The 24731-nt window shown below is 34.1% G+C and overlaps 1 protein-coding gene and 1 long non-coding RNA gene across 10 annotated transcripts in view; one reads left to right on the top strand and one right to left on the bottom strand.

Annotated features, from left to right (window-relative positions):
- CDH12 (cadherin 12) overlaps nucleotides 1-24731 on the top strand; it is a 1102672-nt gene that overhangs the window by 862526 nt on the left and 215415 nt on the right. For all 9 annotated transcript variants that reach the window (NM_001364104.2, NM_004061.5, NM_001364106.2 and 6 more), the window contains 1 exon segment: nucleotides 15434-15728. In NM_001364104.2, the coding sequence (NP_001351033.1) occupies nucleotides 15434-15728 (295 nt within the window).
- On the bottom strand, nucleotides 22334-22980 carry LOC107986345 (uncharacterized). Its single transcript, XR_001742403.2, has 2 exons — nucleotides 22828-22980; nucleotides 22334-22483 (listed from the first exon to the last, which is right to left on the bottom strand). It is a non-coding gene; the product is annotated as an uncharacterized LOC107986345 (long non-coding RNA).

Raw genomic sequence — 24731 nt, 5'->3', positions numbered from 1 at the left:
TGTGTGTCTTGAGCCAAGTTAGCCTGCCTGTCCCTCAATTTCTGTATCTACAACATGAGAATGCTAATAGAAGGATTGTAATCATAGTGTTTTTCTGAGTATTAAAGTGGGTTTAGACACATAAAGCCATTAGAAAGTTGCCTGGCAAAATATAGAAGCTTGATAGCTTTTTCTACAATCTTATTGAATCCAGTCAGTTTTCTCATGCACATTTATATAAGTTAATATAAATAGAAAGGAATATTGCTATACTGGGCTTATTTGGATATGAAGGGAGAGAAATGAAGGAAAACAAACTGTGAAGCCAAATTCTCTACAGTATTCTCCAAATTTATGATATAAATATTATAGTCTACATTTTACATATGAAGACTCTGAGGTATGAAGAAATTCAGTAATTTACACAATAACGCAAATGTAATAAGTGATGGGTTTCGGATTCTAACCCACAAATATCTGATACTCAGGATCATGGATTTTAACTCTTTTTATGTTGTATACACCCTATATGCCAAACAAAAATTCAAACGACAACAACAACAAAATTTAAAGATGGGCTTGCTATATGTGCATGCATTCATTCCTTTATAAATTCATTAGTTCATTAAACCATTACTGAGCATGGACCATGTGATCTGTGTTTGATCTGGTGAAAACACAGAAATCACTAAATATGGTGTGATTGTGTCTAATTTCATATCCCTGTGAAAAGAAAACTTCGACCTCTAAAGTTAGACCAACTCTGATAGAAATCCACAGCAAATGACAGAAAGAAGGATACAAATTAAATAGGAGGTGGTGGAAAAGTGTACATCAGCCAGAGAAAGAATAAGATTGCACAAAGGGATTTGATATAAATGTATCATATTGCTCCATTATCAAATATTGTGAATTGAACACATCTCTCAACTAAGTTAACATCCATTTAAGGGTAAGAGAAAGCCACTGATAGAATTAGTAGTATCTAAAACAAATTTCAGTGGAAAAAAAGGATTTTATATTATCTCCACTTTGTAGGGTCATTTCATTCTGGTGCAGGTTTTGCAAAAACAAACCATTGATTTGGAAATCATAAATATATTCTAAATTTTAATATAGTTACTTATGTTAAACATAATGTGTTAAAGTTTTAGCATATTCTTTTTGACTAATCATTAGTTACTTATGTTAAACATAATATGTTACATTTTTAACATATTCTTTTGACTAATTAATCATTTCCTTTTTAAACTCAGGGAGAGGCAATGGGGGGTACAGAGTGAGTCAGGAAGGCAGCCTCTGTAACAACCTGAGGACTCATGGTTGGGGAAAGATGTCATCTACTTTTAGTCAAGAGATAAATGTTTTACCTGCTAATAGGGAAACACACCCGAAAGTACAGAGAAAAGTCTGGTCAAAACATTGCATTGCATCTAATAAAAACTAATTAACTGGTTTAAAAGCAAAAGATCCCTTGGTACTGCAAAACTCAATCGCTTTCACAATAAATAGATAAACTGCTTTGTGGGAAGAATTTACTAATACATTGAAGCACTTCCATTAGAAACTACATGTTTATTTGATTTCTTAAAACGTATTTAGGCATAATGTGTGTTCTAATTATTTTCATTTCTTGAAGAATATGTATTCTTATACAATTCTTATTGTTGACAATCTTGTGACTACACTTTTGTCTTTTCTTTTTTCCTTCCTTTCTCTCTATTATGCCTTCTTTTTCCCCTTTTTTCTTCATCAAAATTCTTAAGCCTTCTAAAGTCAATCCTGTCACAATGAAAATACATTAAAATGGCTATAACGTCCAATCCATGAACTTTAGTGAACTCTAAAGACTCCTCAAATATACGCAGATGTATAGGATTCTTACGTTTCTCCTAATTTCTACTAGAGAATCTGTCTCTTATCTCTTCTTCCCCAGCTGTTCCTTCTATTCACCCCATATTAACCCAAGCATGAAGCACAGCCCTAATATTTGTTAAAAAATCCAAAAGCTTGTGAAGTTTTAATGAAACCCTAGAACGTGGAAAGTATTATATCAAACTACAGAAAGTTGAAAATTTAATGTTTGTCTCCCTCTTCTTAAAGGTCCTCTATTCAACCTTTAGACTGACAAACTCCTCATGGCTTGCCTCAATGTCTTACGTGCTTTTCCCACCGCTTTTTTTGTTCTACTTCCAATTTTCTGTTTTTAGCAAACCTTGATGTTTCTGGGAATGTCCATGGATATCCTAGATTTCTTCTTATACCCTGAAAATTAGGAATTCAAGCAATTTTTCCTTATTTCTAATCTACTGTAGGCATTTTTTTTTTTTTTTTTTTTTTTTTTTTTTGAGACGGAGTCTCGCTCTGTCGCCCAGGCTGGAGTGCAGTGCAATGATCTTGGCTCACTGCAACCTCCGCCTCCTGGGTTCACGCCATTCTCCTGCCTCAGCCTCCCGAGTAGCTGGGACTACAGGCGTCCGTCACCACACCTGGCTAATTTTTGTATTTTTAGTAGAGAGAGGTTTTCATCATGTTGGCCAGGTTGGTCTCCAACTCCTGACCTCAAGTGATCCGCCCACCTCAGCCTCCCAAAGTGCTGAGATTACAGACATGAGCCGCAACGCCAGGCAGGCATTTTTCTGATATTGCAGAGCTATTGTCATATCCTGTAACCAAAGTAACCTGTTGTAGTGTTATATGGGGGGAGGAGGGGAGTAGTTTTCACTACTACGTTTGGAAACATTCTAGTCTCTGCTATTTATTTACCTTTGCAGTTACTAATACAATAGGTGATACAGGTGAGGCAGATATCAATTTTGGATCTATTCCCCTGTATGGTGTATTTTTTTTCTAGCTGTCCTTAGATTATTATTTACGTAAGTTTGTCGCAAAGGGCTTTGTGAAGGAGATTTTTTTTCCCTTTCTGATGATTACAAGATCAACTGGGAGAAAAGATGGTAAATAAAACCAATGCACTGAATATTGATCTCTGAAGTAACATGAAAAAGTGATACTGATTCACAAAGAGTTCAGAAACTGCAGATGCTTTTCCCTAGTATGTGTAAACATTTGAGATAACGTGGCGCTCATCAATATACTTAGATGGCAAAAATGTTTGACTTATTAAAATAGTCCCATTAAGAACAATCAAGGAGTTTAATCATAGCAACCAAATTTGCACTTCCCTCAGTATCAGTCAGAAATAAATACAGGAAATTTAAGACTCAACTTTTCTGTTCTGATCAAGAGATCCTATTTATGAAGGAAAGATTATGAAAAGTCTCAGTGATGGACAGAAAGCCAAATAGTTGCAATTGTTGATATCTTTGTCTTTTTCAGATGATGCCTTTAGATCCAGCATTATCCCTCTTGTTCTCTCTTGAGAAAGAAGCTGTTTCTGAGACATACAGCTAACAATAGAGACTGTGGAACAAAATGCTTGATTCATAGGTCATTTTGTCTATACTGCAAATAAGAAATGTGAATATATCAAATATTTTTAAAGTTTTACTCCCAATGTATTACATTTTACTAATACATCATGTATACTTTGCATGTATTAAAAATTAGAATTTTTAGCTAGATTTAGCTTTTCTTTTTGAAATCGTACTTATATTTATCTTATCGTAATTGATTTGATTTTATGTAGCCAGACATTTTATACCATTAAACAAAAGGGTATTTAAAATAAAAAAATAAAGGAGAAAATAAAACATAAATAGAAGTGACTATGATAATAAAGACTAACAGAAAGAAATTAGGTTAGATGGAGTTTTACATTCGAGTTCAGATTTGGGTTCAGCTGCTTTATTGGGATTATTAAGTGCATATGCAAATAAATTAGTGTAGGACATATAGTTTTTAAAATTATATTTTGCACTTGGGACTATTTGAACTCAGTTAAAAAGATTTTATTACTAGATTTTTCATGATAGCATATCAGTGGTTAGTCAAAATTAAATAAAACTTATAAGGCATTTAACATAGTATATAATATTCGATAAGAGCTAATATTGGAAATAATGAAATGCTAACAATAAATTAAGAAATGATATGTAACTATAGTAATGTATTGTTATTAATAGCTGATTATTGGCATTTATTTTTAAATCTAGACTAAATCGTATACATTTATATAGTATTCTGAAAAATAACTACATTGTTTGAAATGATACATCAAATTTACTGTTATTCAAAATAGAGATTCCATTACTGAAAATTTGATATGAATGGTTTATTGTCTGGAAATTTTTTCCCTAAAACCCAGCTTGTGAAATATGTTTTACAATGTTGGAAAAGTAGGAAAGAAGTTATTTTAACCTTCTCTCATATTTTTCTTCCCAAATCCTGGGTCCAAGCCAGTGACCTCTCCAACTTTTATAGAAGTTCTTATTCACATATTGTGACACTTTGAAATGAGAGATTATAATTGGAGTGAGCTAAAGTTGCAAAATATGACAATCTGAGGAAATAGGATGGCTTTTATATGTAGCCATGAAGGCAATATTCAAGCAAAGTAAGAAAGATAAAAGACAGCATTGGGGGAATAACATATTTTTTTTCTATAACAGGATGTGTAATATATCCTAGCACATAAGCTTTTTTGCTCTTGAGCATTGCAAATATTCTTTTTTCTTCTGTGAGCTTCTTTGGCATACACTGGGGATGCATGGGGGCCTTTTTGAGATGGATTTCTGCTCTCTTCAATAGAAGGTGAAATATTTCCAGATGATAAATAGCTCTGGGTCTGTTACTCAGGCAGGGGAGTTCTCAAAGCACATTGGGCTGTTAGAGGGAATTCCTAACCTTGTAAAGTGGTATCCCTCTTGCTCATATAGCAACAATTAAACTAGGGAGAACAAATGAGTCACCTCAGGAGAGTAGACTAGCATAGAATGTTAAATATTCTTGGGCATTCGGTGGCTTTGAAAAGAGAACAATTTGCATAACATTACTCAGGCAGAGTTATAGATCATCTTTGGGTCTGATCTTCTTTCATCTATAAATACCTTAAGTATAATCTAATGGCTTTGTAGTGAATATAATGGCCACTATGATGTTCTTGAGCTCAGAATAAGTATTAGCTTGAAACTAGGCAACTTCAAAAAAGGAAACACTAAGTGTTTTATAAGTTTACCAGGAAGAATCTAGCAAAAGTAGTTTGTGTTGTACATAATAAAATTATTTCAGACAAAGAAACTCACGCAAAATTTTCTTATACTCATATTGACTGGTTTAAATGAGTAAACCCTGTGTGTAAGTAAACAAATCAGTGACAATATTACTTTAAATCTCAATCACTAACTACTAAACCATTCTACATCACTTATAATCATAGATTTCAAGAATGGTAATGGGTCTTACCACTTATATGTGATTATTATAACAAAATGTACTGAGAGTATCCTGTACAAGAAACATATCCCTTACATCTGAATGTGTGTATAGATCTATCAGAAGATTCTGTAACTGCTTTTATAAAGATGTCCGTATTAAGTAGGACAGACCTTTATGTGATTGCTTTTGTCCATATATGTTTTGAGACTGAAGAAGAGCGATAGTAAAACAGATAGAACAATAAAGATTTAGACCACATGTCTGGAAGTTTCTCATTCCAGCAGAAAAATTCAAAATGGGGACCTAGTTCCATGACAAAAGATAATGACAAATAAATTGTTAATATTTAAATATGTGATCCATCTATATTAAGGAAAGTAAAGACACTAATCCAAATGCAATGCTTGAAACTTATGGGGCTTCGTGTTCAGAAAACAAAGAAAGAAAATGCTACAAAGATATTTGGAGAGAGAAGTGGGGGTATTGAATATGACCCATTATTAAGTGATAACAGGCATTTTAATTAATTTTCTTAACTGAAACTGTGACAATGTGGTTATGCAGGAAAAGGTCTTATTTTCAGAAAACTGGTGCTGAAATATTGTGTAGTGAATTGGTATGATGTTTGTAAATTATTTGCAAATCATCCATATATGAAAGTAAAGCAAATACAACAAAATGTTGAGAATGGTTTAATCTAGATTTTGAGAATATAGATTTTCATCATATAATTACTTCTATTTTTTCTGTTGATTGCAAGTTTTACTTAATATGATTTTGGTACAGGGAAATGGTGTACCTCCCAAACACCTTTAACTCCTCTTCGGAAAGCATCAGTAATTTATAACAGAGGAACAAAAATAACAACCCGTAATTCTGATGGGAGGGAGTGGCATAGAGGTCATCAGAGAAGATGGCCAATTTCTGTAACATTGCACATAGGTGAAAGATTGGTGACTGTTTAAACAAGCCCAAAGGAGCTACATGCGAGTGTTTACACTGAGAGGGCTCCAGCAATGAAGGCACAGCTCTGAAAGAGACCCAGATTTGGCAGTGATTCCAAAGAAAAGGCATAAAATTTGCCAGGAAAAACACAGAGATGAACTAATATTCTATATACAGAATTTCTCCCATATGCTTGAGAATGCATAAAATATAGGCATTAATGACCAGAATGTAAACAATAAAGAAATAATTTTAAAAGACGTTATTCTGTAGGTAACCTGCAAAGAATTAGGACAGTGTTGGGACACCATTGTGCTTAGAACACCCCCAACCGAATATCTGAAAGTAGAAGAAATGATTGATTCTTTTATTCATTCTAGGCCAAAACTCTGATCAATAAATACAACTCAAAAACTCAAAACTTCAAATTAGGTTATTTATTCTTAAATATGAACAGGAAACTCAGAGTTATCAGGTATTCAAGAAAAGCTCGCCTTATGAATGGCGAAGACTCAAATTCCAAACACAAAAGTAATCCTGAAGGAAGAGATAATTTAAAGAAACCACACAAACACAGACTAATTAGAGTTTTCAAAAAGTTTCAAGAAATCCCACAGTTCACAAAATAAGAATATGATTATTTTTAAAAGAACACTTAAAGAAATCCTGAAAATGAATGTATCTGCGGTATATGTGTGTAGGTATGCACAATTTGTGTGTATTAAATTTGAAAATGAAGAGCATTACCAATAAATAAAGTAATATAAATTTATTGCTTTCACACAATAGTCCAAAAGATATGACAATAAATAATATGAGTGAAATATATATGATACATTGAAGATGTGTAAGGTCTAACATTAAACAATTGAATTCTAGGTTAAGAACACAAAAAACCAAGGACAGGAAATAATCGTGGAAATAATCATTGATAAAAATTTCTGAGTGCTGAAGGAAAATAGTTTTCGAATTGAGAAAATTTACTAAGTGTCCAATCTCAAATAGGAAACATAAACACACATAAACTCGCACCTGGAGGCAATGTTCAAAACACAAACCCAAATAAACACATACTCGGAGACAGTGTTCTAAATAATTAGACTACATTCATAAAAATAAGACTATAAACACTGGAGAAAGAGAAGATGAAAATAAAAAGGGAAAAAAGAGGCTCTTTACCAACAAAGAAAATATAATCAGATGGATACCAAGTCCACTCTTGGTTTCTAGAAGATAATGAATACAATTTCAGATGCAAATGTATAAATTCCTTAAAATGTATGAAGAGAAATGATTTCCAATCTGGAAATATATGCCCACATGAAAATTAATTATATATGAGGGTAAAATAAAGGTATACTGTGATATGAAAAGACTCAAGTAAAATGTCTAACATACACTCATTATTAAGAAATCATATAAAATTAGTGCAAGACAACAAAATAGTAAACCAAAGTAAATATAACATCCAAGAAAAAGTGTTTCCAAACCAGGAGATTAATAAAGTAAATTCCAGGTTGACAATTGTGCAGATGTTCTTGTTTGGATTAGCAAGAAAGAAGCCTCCCAAAGAGAGGCATGTAGTGAAAAGATTTGATGTCAGACCTCAGAAGTGGGATGAATCTAAGGATATTAAAAAAATACATAAATAAAACCACTAACAGACAAAGATGTTACGGAAAAAAAATCCATATGCAAAATAAAACTACAGCAATTACATAGGAAATACAAATTATTTGGTAATAAAACAAAAAGGTTTACATTGTTCTAATTAGTGTAAAAAGAGTATTAGTTGTTCTCCTTTTTTTAATGTTTTAGCATCAACTGATAGACAAAACTTAGAAGGCTTATTTATCAGTAGGTGTTCTCAAAGAAAAAGAACAAATTAGATGTTGATATAGCTATAGATGTAGATGTAGATATAGTTATAGATATATAGATTATAGATATAGAGATATTTAGAGAGATCTCTCTATATATAGATGTATCCATATATAGAGGATATATATGGATCTCTATATATGGATATAGATGTATCTCTCTATATAGGTATAGATATCTATATAGATATATCTCTCTATATAGGTATATATATATCAATATATATCTCTATATATCGATATATAAAGATTTGTTATAAGGAATTGGCTCACACAATTATAAAGGCTGACTAGTCCAAAGGTATGCAGTTGGCAAACTGTAGACCCAGGATAGCTTCTAGTTCTAGTCTAAAGACGGGCAGGCTCAAGACCCAGGAAAAGCCAATGTTTTAATTGAAGTCAAAAGGCAGAAAAAAAATTCCAGTGTCTCAGCTTGAAGGCAGTCAGGCAGGAAGAGATCTCTGTCACTCACGGAGGGGTTTGGCTTTTTGATCTATTCATTCCCACAGCTATTGAATGAGGCCCATCCACATTAGGGAAGGCAATCTATTTTATTCAGCCTACCGATTTAAATACTAATCTCATTCAGAAACACCCACAGAGGCACACCCAGGATAATGCTTGACCAAATCTCTGGGCAATTTATGGCTCAGTCAAGTTGACATATAAAATTAACTATCAGGCTTATTTTTAAAAAGAGGCCTGGCCACACAGGGTGTCTCACACCTGTAATCCCAGCACATTCAGAGGCATAGGCAGGTAGATTGCTTGAGCCCAGAAGTTTGAGACCAGCCTGGGTAGTATGATGAAACCTCATCTCTACAAATAAAAAAATAGAAAAATTAGCTAAGCATGGTAGTCTGTGCCTGTAATCCCTGCTATTCAGGAGGATCACTTGAGCCCAGGAGGCAGGGGCTGCAGTGAGCTGAGATTGTGCCACTGCACTGTAGCTTGGGCCACAGAACAAGACCCTTTAAAAAACAAAAAATACCTAAGGCCTACTTCAGAATTTTTTAGGACAGATTCTGTATAATACAGATGATGGAAGCTGGTGGGGGACGGGGAGAAGAAACGGAAGGAGATGTAAGGGGAAGCGTAAAGGTGTTAATGCTATGATCCTATGAAATAGAGAAACCACAGATACATTCCAATGTCAAAAAAACAACTGTAAACATTGTATTGAAGGGTGTTAGGGTGATGGTTATTTGTATCTACAACCTACTTTTAAATGCATCAAAAATTAAGCTGGGTTAACAGATAGACAAATGGGTAGAAAATAATAAAACAATTATAAACAGTATGTAAAAAATATATAGACTAGGAGGTAAGTATACAGATGAATACTATATACTTTTATTATGAATTTGAAAATTTCATAATAAAATATTGGAGGCAAGAAGAAAAGGATACATTCTGAGTGAACTGAAATTTAGAAACAAAGACACTCAGATATCACGTAGTGTTTTATTGACAACACAGAGAATAAACAGTGGTACAGTTTTACTTGGACAAGGCAAGGGGTATGCAGTTTGGAAGTCAACAAATATTATTCGAATTTATAATTAAAGAACTACTATAACATTTAATCATTTAGCCAATTTTATATATGTATTTTTATAAGAACTGAAACAGAAAGAATGAAAATAGAAACAATTAAAAATGTCCCCAGCTGGCTAGGAAAAGAAAGAGTATGGTTTAGGATTATAAACTCTTCGATTCCCTATGATATTTAGCAATTTAATTGTATTACTTTGATTAAAATGTTTTTGATCAGTTTAAACTGATGTAATAAATTCATATTTATTGATACAGAAAAATATGATATAATCCATCTAAAAAGCAAGTTACAAAACAGTGTACAGTGTACCATAGTACCTATGAACACAATTAGTGAAGTAATTTGCAGAGCTATAATACCAAATCAGAAATTATTTTGGTAATGAATTTATGATTTTCCCCGTTTTCTGATTTTTTTCCAAGATCTCATATACTTTATTCTCAGAAAACAAAAGACAAAACCCCACACATACACAAAAATAAACGAGTAAGTTCATTACAACCCCAGAGGCTAAGTCAGTGGGAAAAGAGGGAAATGAATGGTTATGAGCATAAACACAGGGACAAATAAAAGAAGTTTGGAGCACAGAGAACAATTCACAAATCAGAAGTCATTTTAAAGGACACAGAAATCATGGTTTTAAATATCATTCCATAAGCAAAGAGAATATTAAAATCATTTTTTGGAAAATTCCTTAAAAAATGTTTTGTAATAACTTTTTTATTTTTTACCCTTCTCATCACAACCATCCTCATTACCTCCATAAGAGCCATATGTGGTAACTGTCCAGGGTTGTTCATCTCTACCTCTCGCCAGGAAATATACTGAATTGCAAGAATTAGGTACTACAAAAAGATGCATATTTTATATTAAGCAGTTACATTTAGAAGTAAACTGGTAACTTGATGGCATTTCTATAGCATATATATATATATATGCCATACATATATGTATGTATGTTTTTTTTTTTTATTATACTTTAAGTTTTAGGGTACATGAAGTGGGCGAAGGACATGAACAGACACTTCTCAAAAGAAGACATTTATGCAGCCAAAAAATACATGAAAAAATGCTCATCATCACTGGCCATCAGAGAAATGCAAATCAAAACCACTATGAGATACCATCTCACACCAGTTAGAATGGCAATCATTAAAAAGTCAGGAAACAACAGGTGCTGGAGAGGATGTGGAGAAATAGGAACACTTTTACACTGTTGGTGGGACTGTAAACTAGTTCAACCATTGTGGAAGTCAGTGTGGCGATTCCTCAGGGATCTAGAACTAGAAATACCATTTTTTTTTTTTTACTCATGTAAAAAACACATATATCCACATGTGGGTTAGTAGTAGTATTTGTTGAACGCAACTTTTGGTTTTCACACAAATCCACCTTTTCAAAAATCAATTGTTCCTTCTCCCAACATACCCCAGGCTGGCAAATGACAAATGAAAATAAAATCCCTGCTGGAAATAGTGGTATAAAAAGCATTTTCCATTTTATGTGCACTTTTCAACCCAGAGAAAATAAGAAATTTGTTTTATTTTTGTGCAGTAGTTTCTAAAATATAATCAGAGAGATGCTAGTAAACATTTAACTTTAGATTAGCTTTCTCAAAACTTTTAAGCGCTGGAATGAAAGATTTGCTTACATTCTGAAGCTGGAGCAGGGTATCTTTTTTAAGCCTTCTTTGGCATCTCATTTTCACGCACCATCTGAGATGACTTGGAAAACACCAGAAAATAACAACACTACTTCCACAAAACAACTGCCTGGACAGTGCCTATTTCTACAGCCATCATTTATAGAACTCTTTTTCTGGGGAGAAATTTTATTTTAAGTGTCAATACTAAAAGATGATATATTTGGAGTTGGCTGCTTCAATCAGTAAATGTAGTCAGCACCGACTCAGAAACAGCTTATTTTTAATAATTGGAAGAAGAAATATTTCTAGCTGTTAGTTTTAAATGGCTACAAAGGAAAGAAATTATTTTTGTGGAATTATTAGCTTGCCGTATGTGTAGATTAAAAAGGCTGTGTAAAAATGGCATCATGTGATTTTTTTTACAGTGAACATGACCCAAAAATATGGAAAAGACTATGAGTTCTTTTTATCTGTAGCCCTCCTTCCTTCTTTGTGCAAATGAGGCTAAGAACTTCCTTCACATTGTAAGCAAAGCCTGAATCCCATTGCTGACATATTTGAGAAAGCAGTTTCATCGATAGAGATCAATTTCCGGAATCACTAAAAATTCAACATTTTCTAAGATTCATAAAAATTATTATAGCTTTAGTCTTGACAGTTGCCTTTTTATTTTAAGGAAATAAACCCCAGAAAACACATAAACACGTGCGTATACATACATACACACACGCACATTCACCACACAGTTTATGAAGGAATACAGAGTGCCCATTGGATCATTCAACTTCACTGAATGAATATGCAGAAATTTAAAAAAGTAATTTTGAAAAATTTCAAATGATACTGAAAAATAATTATGGTATTTTGTTTTAAAAATCTTGACTCATTTATTTATATAGTGTGTATATATATAGATAGATACAAGCAGAGAAATATACATCAATATAAATGTGCAGTAAATATGTATTTATATATATTTACCCTTTCAGTTATATATTTACATAACTGAAACATATAAAAATAACAAAGAAGGGCAGGGCGCAGTGGCTCATGCCGATAATCCCAGCCCTTTGGGAGGCTGAGGCGGGCGGATTATTTGAGGTAAGGAGTTTGAGACCAGCCTGACCAATATGGTGAAACCCTGTCTCTATCAAAACTACAAAAATTAGCCTGGCATGGTGGCATGCGCCTTGTAGTTCCAGCTACTCTGGAGGCTGAGGCAGGAGAATTGCTTGAACCCGAGAGGTGGAGGTTGCAGTGAGCCGAGATCACGCCACTGCACTCCAGCCTGGGCAACGAGAGCGATACTCCGACTCAAAAAAAGAGAAGTTATCTCTAGGTAAGATCATGATGGAAATTTTCATCTTACTTTATACCTTTCACTGTTGAAATTATTTTACAGTTGAAGTAAAGGAAATTTTATAATATCCAACAAGAGCCAATGTCATTTATTTAATATCAAAATTAATATTGGAAAAATGTCTATACTTTAGGCTACCACCCATCTGCCTAATTAATCAGCATTAACACTTAATTTTAAATATTACCTGTCAACGCAGATCACTGAATGTGATCTCCTTTAAGGTATTATCATGTAATAAACTGCTACAAAAAGTCTAATTCTCTCACGAGTTTTATAGTCATCCACTTCATTTACAGGTCAACCTTTTAACGTATTTTCCCATATTTTTTTCTGAAGCTTTAATCTCTGCAAAGCCCATCTTTAAATTTGAAGGAAAAGGTAGAAGAGTGAGGAGCAGCAGTAATTAACTTGAATTTGGAACTTGGATATAACTAAAGACACATTTTGCTTCTTCATTTTTATGTCAGTTTGCAAAGGAAACAGTTATGATTTTAGCTAAATACAGAAATTTTTGTTTTGTTTTTCTTTTTTCTTTTTAAAATTCTACTTGTATCACATTTCAAAACCTACTCTGAATTTTCACTCAGTTCCCACAATATTACCATATATTCTTTGAGCTGTTGGCAAAATGGATCCATTTTATAAAGTCATGCCTTTTGCATTGAGCTTTTGCCTGTCTCATATATTTAGATAAATTTGAAAGCAAAAGGAATACCCACTGTGTTGAATATCTTTAATAGCATGGTTGAAATTTATAATTTGAAATTCATAAGTTCAAAGAACATTTATCTACTGCTTGATTTTATGCTTGAAACTTCCTATGCTTCACAGCAGTTTTTTTTAATAGGTGGACAAAAATCCTTCCTCCTATCATTCATAACAATTTTCTTTATACTTAAGTAAAATATACAGAAACTTTTAAAGAAACATCAAAATCTTGTTCCCTCTTATTGTTGCCACATTATTTTTATTATATTACCCAACCAGGTTTTTATGGTTTTGCTTATACTCTCATACAAAACACTTTTAGAACAAATATTGAAGGAAATGCAGGGTCACAAAATGAATAAGTTTACCTTAATAACATTAATATGAACAATGATATTATTTTATTGAACTTAAAGCACGCTCTTGAGCTTAAGAGCAAAGATGTAGCTACAGTTGAACTTGTATTTATTTGGGCTATATTTGTGCTTTTAATTACTCATACTAATACACAGGAAGCTTATTTGCAACAGGATATTTATATAATTTAAAATATTTTCAGAGTTTTTGTGTGTGTGTTGAAATGTTAAGAAAACAGAACTCATTCTTAAGCAATGATTTGCAAAGAGCAGTGCTCATATGCAGATTTTTAAGGCATAGCCCAAATGGTTAGAAATGCTGCAAAAGTTTATTTTTCTTTTGGGTGATCTGTTGTCTGGAAAAAGCTGTTACATGTAAAAATTTGGATACTGAAATCAAATGGCTATACCCAAATGAGCAAGAATAGTTTAAAACATTTAAATCAACATCTGCATAAAAATTAATGTAAATATTATTTATAAGACTATGTTATGTATATATGTATATATAATTATGTATAAGAATATATTTATACAAATATATACTACTAGAAAATTATATATGATGCACTATTTTATTTTATGTAATATTTTATGTATATATTTATTTATTTACACGTAATTTATATACGTTTAAGACTGTGTCCATTTTTCATTTATTCTTGGTCTCCAGTTTGAACAACACTGCCTTACGGCATTACACTGATAATTCTCTCTACTCTTTAGTTCTCTTCCTTATCGCTTATTCATGTGTATCTTATTCCATACTATAACATAATGTACCATACATGTGTTGAATTTTAAAATAAATTAGTAGAATTTCAATGCTTTCCCATATTACTCAACATAAATATTCTATATATAGAATGAATTGGAACAAGCTATTTGTGAATCTGAAAGGATAATCAGTGATTCTACCAATCATAGTGGTAAACTCATTCAAACTCAGCCTGTTAAAATGAGATGCTCTGCCCTATATCACTGAAAACCTCTTGATTTGCCAGATTTTTCCCTTCTTTACAAATGAAAATGCTTAGTGTTTTCTGAGTTCCTTTGCACTATCTCCCACTGGATTCAGGTCATTGATTTCATCTTCAGAACACTTGGAAAGTTTATTTTGTGGTGTTTATGAGCTAATTTATTTTTATTGCAATGTTTATTTAAAATGAAACAATAAGTACACTGAAGTTTTGTGCATTTCATTTTATGAAAATGTTATCCCAAAGGGATACAGAAGAACTAAATACAAATTTTCAAAATTTGTTGGTTTTTTTGCCTGTTGCTATATCTGAGGTTGTACTTTTGTTCTGATCTTCGTAACACCTCAAAAAAAAATGGGTTAAGAGAAGGATGAACAGAAGAATAGATATGAGATCTATCTGATAAGGCAAGCAGATTAATAGACGAATGGAGGAATGTTTGGATGTATAGGTATATATGCGTTCATCGCACAGTTTTCAACTTTTTGTGTTGAAATTTTTATAAAAAGAAGTTGGAGAAATAAAAAACGAGAAAACAGAACCATAAGATTTTTATTTAACATTTTTGATTAAAGGAATTGTATTGCAAATTATGACTTTTTAATTTGGCACATCCTTTTAATGGTGTTCTTTCTTTGTCCTTCTCTTTCTCTTCCTCTCTCTCTCCTTCTCTTCCCTAAAGCTCCATTCCGACTTAGACAAGGGAGAGGGCACTGTGAAATACACCCTCTCAGGAGATGGCGCTGGCACCGTTTTTACCATTGATGAAACCACAGGGGACATTCATGCAATAAGGAGCCTAGATAGAGAAGAGAAACCTTTCTACACTCTTCGTGCTCAGGCTGTGGACATAGAAACCAGAAAGCCCCTGGAGCCTGAATCAGAATTCATCATCAAAGTGCAGGATATTAATGATAATGAGCCAAAGTTTTTGGATGGACCTTATGTTGCTACTGTTCCAGAAATGTCTCCTGTGGGTGAGTAGGCAAATCAAAATTCTGTGAGATACAATGAGACCTCTTCAACATTGACTTTTTGCAGGTTGATGTAAACATCTTATCTATCATCTAAAAGAATATTTTTCAATTCTAGAAAATACAGTTCTTTTCATTTATTTTTGTAACTTTTTTGTTTTTCTTTCTGCTTCATTATGAAGATAAGTACAGGAATATATAACATTAGTTCCTGTTTTCCACCCTGTGAATTTACCTGAATTCATAGAATCCTTGCATGCTTTAAGCAAAAAATGTATTTTGTATTGAAATTGATTGTTATCTCAATTCCAGACACCTATATAGTGCTGGAGACACCTACCCTACACCACAAAATGCCAGACAGTAATTCCTAGATCAAAGTAAATTATCTAAAGCATGTGTCACATCTGATCTGGAAGTGGTCCGGAAACAGGTGTGATGCATCTTTTGTAGCTGTAAATAGAGATTCTGGAAGGGTAATACTGTTTCCTTTTCAGGGTAAATAACCCATACTTGTTGTGCCATCAAGCCAAGCAGCAAATGAATAATGTCATGAAAACATTATTAGAACAAATTAACAAATTACAATTACAATTATCAAATTAACAATTAGAATATAGTAGCACCATCATTCTAAAAATTTAAATTTGATATAAATATACATTTCCATATCAGCCTAAATTTACAAAGTCCTATAATATGTAGGATATAAGGTCAGTAAGTTAAGAATTCCAGCTTTAAGGACAATTTTAAATTATAATTTTTATTCCTCAGTCACCACTGCTAATCCTTCAATTTATTTCAAAGTAACTTCTGGTTTTTATTACATTTGGAAGATAAAGCAACTTATCACATGTAGGTTACAACTTAAAATTCGTGTATGAGCCATTGCTTATATTTTCTAAATCTGACATGACCCAGGGGGTTTCTACTGCTCCTACCACCACCCAGGACTTGTGATGAAGATTGTGCACGCTACCCTGAGGGCAGAAGCAGGTTAGTAGCTGTAGGAGCTGTCACATGGATTTACTATAATGCACTTGAAATTGTGTATGTGACCTTATCAGGCATTTAAGGACCATAATCTCTCCTTGACCTAAGAAATCAGCTTGAAGTAATTCACTTAGATTTCAAATTTTAATGTGGATACCCAAGGCTGCAAATCTGTTATTCAGTACCTGCTACACTTTTGGGGTTGCCTGTTTTATGCACTGTTATTATTGCTAGAAATTTAGAAGTCCAATTGGAAAGAAGCATATCTTGTTAGAAAGTATTCCCAGAAAATGAGGGAGGCTACATTTTAACGGTGTCTTGATTTTACAGGGAGAAAAATAAAGTTAATATTTTGAGGAAAAAATAAGGCTTTTAAGATGACATGCTATATAGTAGACAAATAGTTTAACTCGGTGCCTACTTCATGTACACTGGATGTGTTAACATGAATTTATGACCCTCAGTGACTTTTTAGTACCAAAACAGCTTCCTTAAAGCAAACACACACACATGCCTCTACAGTATTGGAAAATTCCGTCTCCTTGGATAAAACAATTAGGATTTTTCTTGTGCCAACTATAATAACTAGGGCTGCAGAGTTGGAGCCTTCGTGTAAGGAGTTTGCAGATCATATCCAAAGAGAGAAATATATTTGGAAAGTCAAAAGTGTAGGTAAGTGAGAAAGCAGAGTAGTTTCAGCTTTTGCAGTTGGAGTGGGATATAATTTACTGTGTTGTCATAAGATACTGGAAAGATCTTTGGAAGAATAGGTTCTTAAAGTGTTTTCTCATGTGCCCTTACTGAAATTTCCCATTGGGCCTTCAAGACAACTCCAGTAAATACTTAAATTGATTTTCAGTGCACTGCTTTCTTTCATTTTTATTTATTTATTTTGAGACTGGGTCTTGGTCTGTTGCCCTGGCTGGAGTGCAATGGCCCAGTCTTAGCTCACTGAAGCCTTAAATTCCTGGGCTGAAGAGATCCCTCCACCTGAGCCTCCTTAATAGCCAGTCATGTGCCACTCTGCCTAGCTATTTTTTTTTTTTTTTTTTTACTTTTTGTAGAGAAGGGATCTAGCTATGTTGCCCAGGCTGTTCTCAAGTAGTCCTGGCCTCAAATGATCCCTCCACCTTGGCTTCCCAGAGCACTGGGATTACAGTCATGAGCCACCCTCCTGGCTCCTTTTTTTTTATTTTTAATAACAGAAGGGTATTTCTTTTGAATGTGAAATTTTACCACATGGTATGAATTAGTCCAAGTGTTTTTATACTAAATTTACATAATATACACTTTTCAAGTAAGTACAAAGAGGTATAAACACTGCTTATGAATTGAATGTTAAAAAATAAACCTCTATGCATTACTTTTGTCTTTCCCCATAATCTCACATATACACATAAAACAAAAAACAAGGAGACCCAATTATAGTTGTGGTATCTGCTGTTTCTGCCTTGAAATTTCCAACTTACAACTAAGCAACAACTACTGTGCATCCAGAACTTACATCTATGTTCCTAGAGTACTCGAACCCCATTCTCAAGTGCACCCTTCTTACCAGGTGGAAATAGTTCACTGCTGTAATAATCTAAGAAAACATTATGTTTTTCTATACTTTTTTTTCTCTCATATAATCGAGGCAATTCTCCCTCTGTATCATTTTCCTGAGAATACTAAAATAATTTTTAATCAAGACCAGATGGAACTTTGTATGGTATATTGACAGTATACCAATTGTTGTGACGAATCTTACTGCCTGTTGTAGATATCAGTGTTTGAAGTATTCCCTATGAAATAACTTTTCTGTCCCAATAATTGAGAGTGCTTCTGTTTCATTTCCAAAAAAAGGGAAGAATTAATCAATTAAAAATACATATAGTGAAATAACCTGTTTTGTAACATAAAACATAAGATGAAGAAATATCGGAACATTGATATGAAGTTTAACAGTAATGGATTATATATCCAGAAATATGAACAAATAAACCTGCAATGAAAATTTACTAATATTACTAATTTTCACTTGTGTAAAGTGAACATTACAAAGAACATATTGTACAAAGGGAGAATGGTGGTGGGTAGGATGAGTCAAGATTTCAGAGGAAAATCAATATTTAAGACTTACAGCACTGTGGAATATATTTAATTTTCCTAAAGTTGAAGAAAATTCCAGTGAATCTATGAATTGTTTAAGAGAAAGATCACTCCGTTACTGACTTCTGTTACATCTAATATTCCAGGGAAGTAATATTTAGAGATAAAAAGCTTTTACTCTGACCTCCGGAAATTACTTAATGATCCAGATACTCCCAAAGTCAAAGCAAATCCTTGGAGACAAGTTTGGACTTTATGAATGTGGACTTAATTCTTTAAGATCACTAGAGCAACAATAAATTATAGGAATGTACCCTCTTTAATATCTGATGATTATGCATAAGTGGGGTGTGCAGTTTTAAGTTACTTTTCCTACAATGCTGACAGGTTTAGAGTGTTAAATCCATACTCAACTTGTATTATCTTCCCCTGCTTGAGCTATGCCACCTTGAGTCAGCTGATTTGACTATTTATAATTAGATATCTAACCTATGATATGATATAGTAGATGTCAATAGTGACTCATGATTTATGTAGTAATTCTTACCATTTTCTAAGCAGTAGTCAGGTGCCATGTGATCTAACTAAAGATTTGTATTTCTTATTTTACTTAACAATTACAGTAACCCCAATGCAGTATTATTCACTGTTGGATTTTTTTTAATGTGAAAACTTAATAACCCCTGTGGATAAGAAAGTAAGAATGATTCTTAGTTGCTTTAGAACCAAATTAGTCAGAATTTAATATACCATTTTGTCTAGGTGTCATGCGGCTAAAATATCTTTGAGAAAGTTAAACTTAGCTTTCAATCTCAGATGATCTACTTAAGAATTTGGAAAGTTTATATTATATTATTTGAGAATGGGGATTCTTGCTTAAACAAAACCTGAAGGATGGGCATCTTTCATTCAATATCTTAAAAAGAAAGTTTAGCTGACATTTAAATAAGAAAAGATACACCTAAAATAAAGTAGAACACTGGTTTAATAAAAATAGTGAACAGGTACTCCCTTGCCTTTCTTTTTTTCTCTCAACTCTATTTTATTTTACATGAAGTTTGGGGAGAAATGCTAAGATGAAATTTTTGGTGGAGTTTTTCAGAGGTTATTTAACCAGAGACTATTTTCTTTTTTCTTTTTTTTTTTTTTTTTTTTTTTTTTTTTTTTTTTGAGAAAGAGTCTTGCTCTATTGCCCAGGCCGGAGTGTAGTGGTATGGTCTTGGCGCACTGCAACCTCTGCCTTCCAGGTTCAAGTGATTCTCCTGCCTCAGCTTCTCGAGTAACTGGGATTACAGGTGTGCACCACCACACTCAGCTAATTCTTGTATTTTTAGAAGAGATGGGGTTTTGCCACATTGGCCAGGCTGGTCTCGAACTCCTGAACTCAAGTGATTTGCCTGCCTCGGCCTCCCAAAGTGCTGGTGTTAAGGACATGAGCCACAGTGCCCAGCCAACCAGAGACTACTTGTTTCGTGGCCATATTTAAACGGTCTAAGAAGGAAAAGTGAAGACTGTGTCTGTACTTTACATTAATGAACTATTATAACTTAGAAACATATATAAGTCTCCACACTTCCTTATTTTCACAAAAATGCCATAGAGAGACAAATCGAAACATAAAAAACTAGATATATTCTCTTATCCCTTGAGCCAGCCATGGAAACAGAGAGCCCCTCAATTAGTAGCAGAGGAACAGGTGAATTATCATCCACTTCTATCTATGCCCTAAAAGCAGAGTTTTTTCAGAAGCTTGAAGACAGAATGTTGACTATTTATTTTCCACACATAAAGACATTCGCCTTGTGCAATCAAACTACAATGTTTAAAATCAGGAAATTTGCATTAATGTATTATTATAATCTAATCCTTCAGCCCTATTCAAGCATTAGCACTTGTCTCAATAGTGTCTTATATAACAAAAAGTTCAAGTTCAAAATCAAACATTGTATTAAAATGTTAGGTCTGTTTAGTTTCCTTTAATCTGAAACAGGTTCATATTTTTTCTTGGTTTCCGTGACTTTAATATTTTTGAAGATTTCTGCCTAGTTATTTTTTAGAATGGCTCTCCCATCTTGAGTATGTGTGATGTTTCCTCATGTATGAATGAAGCATATACATCTTTGTCAGAAATATCCCAGAACCAATTCTGTACTCTCCTCATTATGTTCTATTGGGTGGGCCATGGTTTTTGATTTGTCTCATTACTGATGATGGTTACTTTTATTATTTGATAAAGGTTGTATATAACTTATCTATTATGGCATAATACATTAGCTAAAACCTTAGCAGTGTAAAACAGCAGATACTTAAGTTTCTCATAGGAATGGCTCTATTGAGTACCTCTGTCTCAAGGCTTCTCAAGAGTTTGTAGCTACCTTGTTGGCTGGGGTTGCGGTCTGATCTAAAGGCTTAGTTAGGGGGTGGTAGAAATCTTCCATATGTTCTTTGCTACGTGGACCTCACAGGCCTACATCATAACGTGGCAGCTGGCTTTCCTCAGAATGAACTACCCAAAAGAGAGCTAGACAGAGAGAAAACCCTCTGATTGAAGCCATAGTCTATTTATAACCTAATCTTGAAAGTGACATCACATCCCTTCTGCCATATTCTACAAGTAAGTGCAACGCGAATACAAGAAAGCTGGGATCACTGAGGGCTCTCCTACAGTCTACCTACCACTGTCTATACTCTGGCTCTCAATGATTCATGTTGCTCTGTCATGCAATATATTCTCATCCCTTTCTGAGGACCCCAAAATTTTCAACCCACTATAGCATCAGCTCAAAGTCCAGGAGCTTTTCATCTAAATCAAGTCTAGATGGGGAAGTGATTTTGGGTTTAATTCTTTTTTTTTTTTCTTTTAGATTTTTTACTTTTAGTTTTGGAGTACCTGTGCAGGATGTGCAGGTTTGTTACATTGATAAACATGTGCCAGGGTGGTTTGCTGCACCTATCAACCCATCACATAAGTATTAAGCCCAGCATGCATTAGTTATTTTTTCTAATGCTCCCCCTCCCTACCCTCCACCCCCCATCAAGCCTCAGTGTGTATTGTTCTCCACCCTGTGTCCATGTGTTCTTACTGTTCAGCTCCCACTTATAAGAGACAACACGTGGTGTTTGGTTTTCTGTTCCTGCGTTACTTTGCTAAGGATAATGGCTTCCAGCTTCATCCACGTCCCTGCAAAGGACATGATCTCATTTCCTTTTTGTGGCGGCATAGTATCTCATGGTGTATATGTACCACATTTTCTTCATCCAGCTTTGTGATACTAAAGAGGCCAGTTACTTACTACACACTCACCAAAAATACAGTGGCAAAACAGGAATAATATCTCTAGACATTCCTGTTGAAAAAAATGGGAAAATGCACAGACTAAAAGATGATTGGTCCACCACATTTTAAAATCCCAGTGGTAAATGTTGCAAGTCATTTGATTATATTCAACGCCTGTGAATAATTATTCATGCCTCTCATCTCTGACCTCTAGGCTCTTCGTTCTGCCTTTTGAGTTATTCTGTTCTTTTTCCATGAAATACAGCTTGTACTTGCAATAGTACTTGGATGTTGAACTTGTTAAGAGTGCATATCCTTTTGTTCAGATCCAACTATCATTTCCTAGTTGTATGTAGTTGTGTGGGTTATTTCTCCTCTTTTACATTGATTTTCTCACCTGCAAGTGAATAATAGTAACACTTTATGAGAGGGTTATTGCAAGTAGCAAGGAGAAAATGTATATTTACCATTTGCCACAATCCCTGGGGAAGTGCAGTCAATACATTGGAAAGGGTCCTCATAAGAGTTTGATGATCATTCTCAGAAAACTAGCCAGAGAAAGTCTAAATGGTAAAGGTTCCAGCTTATTATCTTCTTCCCTTTTCTCAAGTTTTCTCTCCATCTGACATGTGAGCTCAGTATTTACCATTGCCCTTTCTACAAATTTAACCAAGTTTATTTAAAAACATAATGACCTTCTATCCCAATTTACATTTTCCTTGGTGTAGAGGACGCCTTTACCTTGATGTGTGGAGACAAGCCGTTGATTTGTAAGAAACACCAATTATCAGCTTCCACTTGTGCTTCACAATCTGCTGAGTCGCTTTAACACTTTTGATGAAATTGAGCAAGGCCTTGTGATCTCTCCTGTGCCAGCCGTGAAGTGTCCACTGCACGCAGTTTGGCAGGACTATTTTCAGGGCCATAGGATGTTATGGCTGTGTGGGCAGGGAGCATTTTATTCGTCTGTTTGATTCCTGTGTTTTTATTAGTGGTGCAATTGCAAAGGTAATGCTATTGACACTTTTTGTGTAGCCTTGAGAGAAGAGTATGAATTGTGTTAGTAGCAGCACAGCGTGTCCCTAAACATAAACCATGCTGTACTGATAGTTACTTTAGCAGCCACTGATCAGCAATAAATGTTAAAAATTAACAAGAAGTTTCTTTTTTTTCGAAACCACCAAATGACTCTAAGCATTAAATATATTTTAGCCGGAGTTGCTTCTCGGCCACAGAGTGGTTCACAACATTAAACATATTTGCAAAGTATTACTCCTTCCCCAGCCTCCAAGTGGTTGTAAACATTAAATATGTCTTATAAAAACTGCTTTGCCAGCTACTGGCAAGATAGCTATGAACATCATTTTTCTTTAAAGTTGCCTTCCAGCTGCGGGACTATTTTTCCTTGTTTGCTCTATTCTATTTATATTTTGTACACAAAAGCAGGCAAGATGCTACGTTGGCCCAATTGTCTCTGGCTTTATGATAAGTGATCATGGGAGAGCAGTTGCACCTCCGTAAAACCCTGCTGGCCACAGGAGCTTGCTGAAGTTCAATCACTGATACTGAATATTTCATATAGATGTCAGCTGTGTCTTCCAAAATAATTTTTGTTTTTCATTGTGCAATGTGTTGAGGCATAAAGATGGGCATGCATTAACATCAGCATTAAGAAAAATAACTTGAAGCAACCAGACACTGATGAATTATACCCACTGATTCAGGTGAAAATATTCCGTGAAGAGAACAGACTCAAATGGCAGGACTAGTATGTTAATGAGGCCTTTAACCCAAACATGATGAAAGACTTGGAACCTCTGTCTGGAAATCATCCAGTGTGACAACTGCATGCGATTCAAAAAGAGTGAAGAGTATGCTATTACATAAAGGTCTATCCAGGACTTAGAGCAGGAAATCTTTTCATTTTAACCAAATTCACAGTGAAAATAACGTGTGTCCCCTGAGTGAATTGAAAAATAAATTAGCTCTATCATCTCAGGCACAGTAATTCATCATCAGGCCAAATAATTAATTACTCAGGAAGGCTTTGATTTCTATGGGAGCCAAGTGTTTTCCAAATTGTGTAGTACTGTATCTTGCCAAATGTTTTATTTTAGGTGTATGTTCAACAGGTTCAAATATTCATCAATACCTACGTGACAGGCACTATTTTAGGTACTGGAGCTAGAACTTGAGCAAAAAAGACAAAAATTCCTCCTCTCAGGAAGCTTTTACTCCAAAGGCCTCCTGCAGGGGCAGCAAGCTAAACTCTGTGAGCTAAATTCAACATATCATCTGTTTTTATTGGAACAGTTACACTTATTCATTTCTGTGTTGTCTATGGCTGCTTTCACACCACAATGGAAGAGCTGGCAACAGAGACCATATGGCCTGCAAAGACTAAAATATTTACTATCTGGTCCTTCACAGAAAAGTATGTTGACCCATTACATAGTGGATTGAGTTTGAGAGAGGAGATTAAGGTAAGGCCAACATTTTAAATCGACCTATGAGGAAAAAGTGTTTTTTTCTCCCTAAAAATTACCTCTTCCAAAAGAAAAAAAAAAAAAAAAACGTAAAAATAGAAAGAAAATGGCAAGACCCAAGGTAAAATGAAGGGTAAAAGTGAGCACCACACTAATACA

Source organism: Homo sapiens, chromosome 5, assembly GCF_000001405.40.
Source record: "Homo sapiens chromosome 5, GRCh38.p14 Primary Assembly".
Classification (NCBI taxonomy): domain Eukaryota; kingdom Metazoa; phylum Chordata; class Mammalia; order Primates; family Hominidae; genus Homo; species Homo sapiens.
Note: the sequence above shows the minus strand (reverse complement) of the source record. Positions and strands in the feature narration are given on the sequence as shown.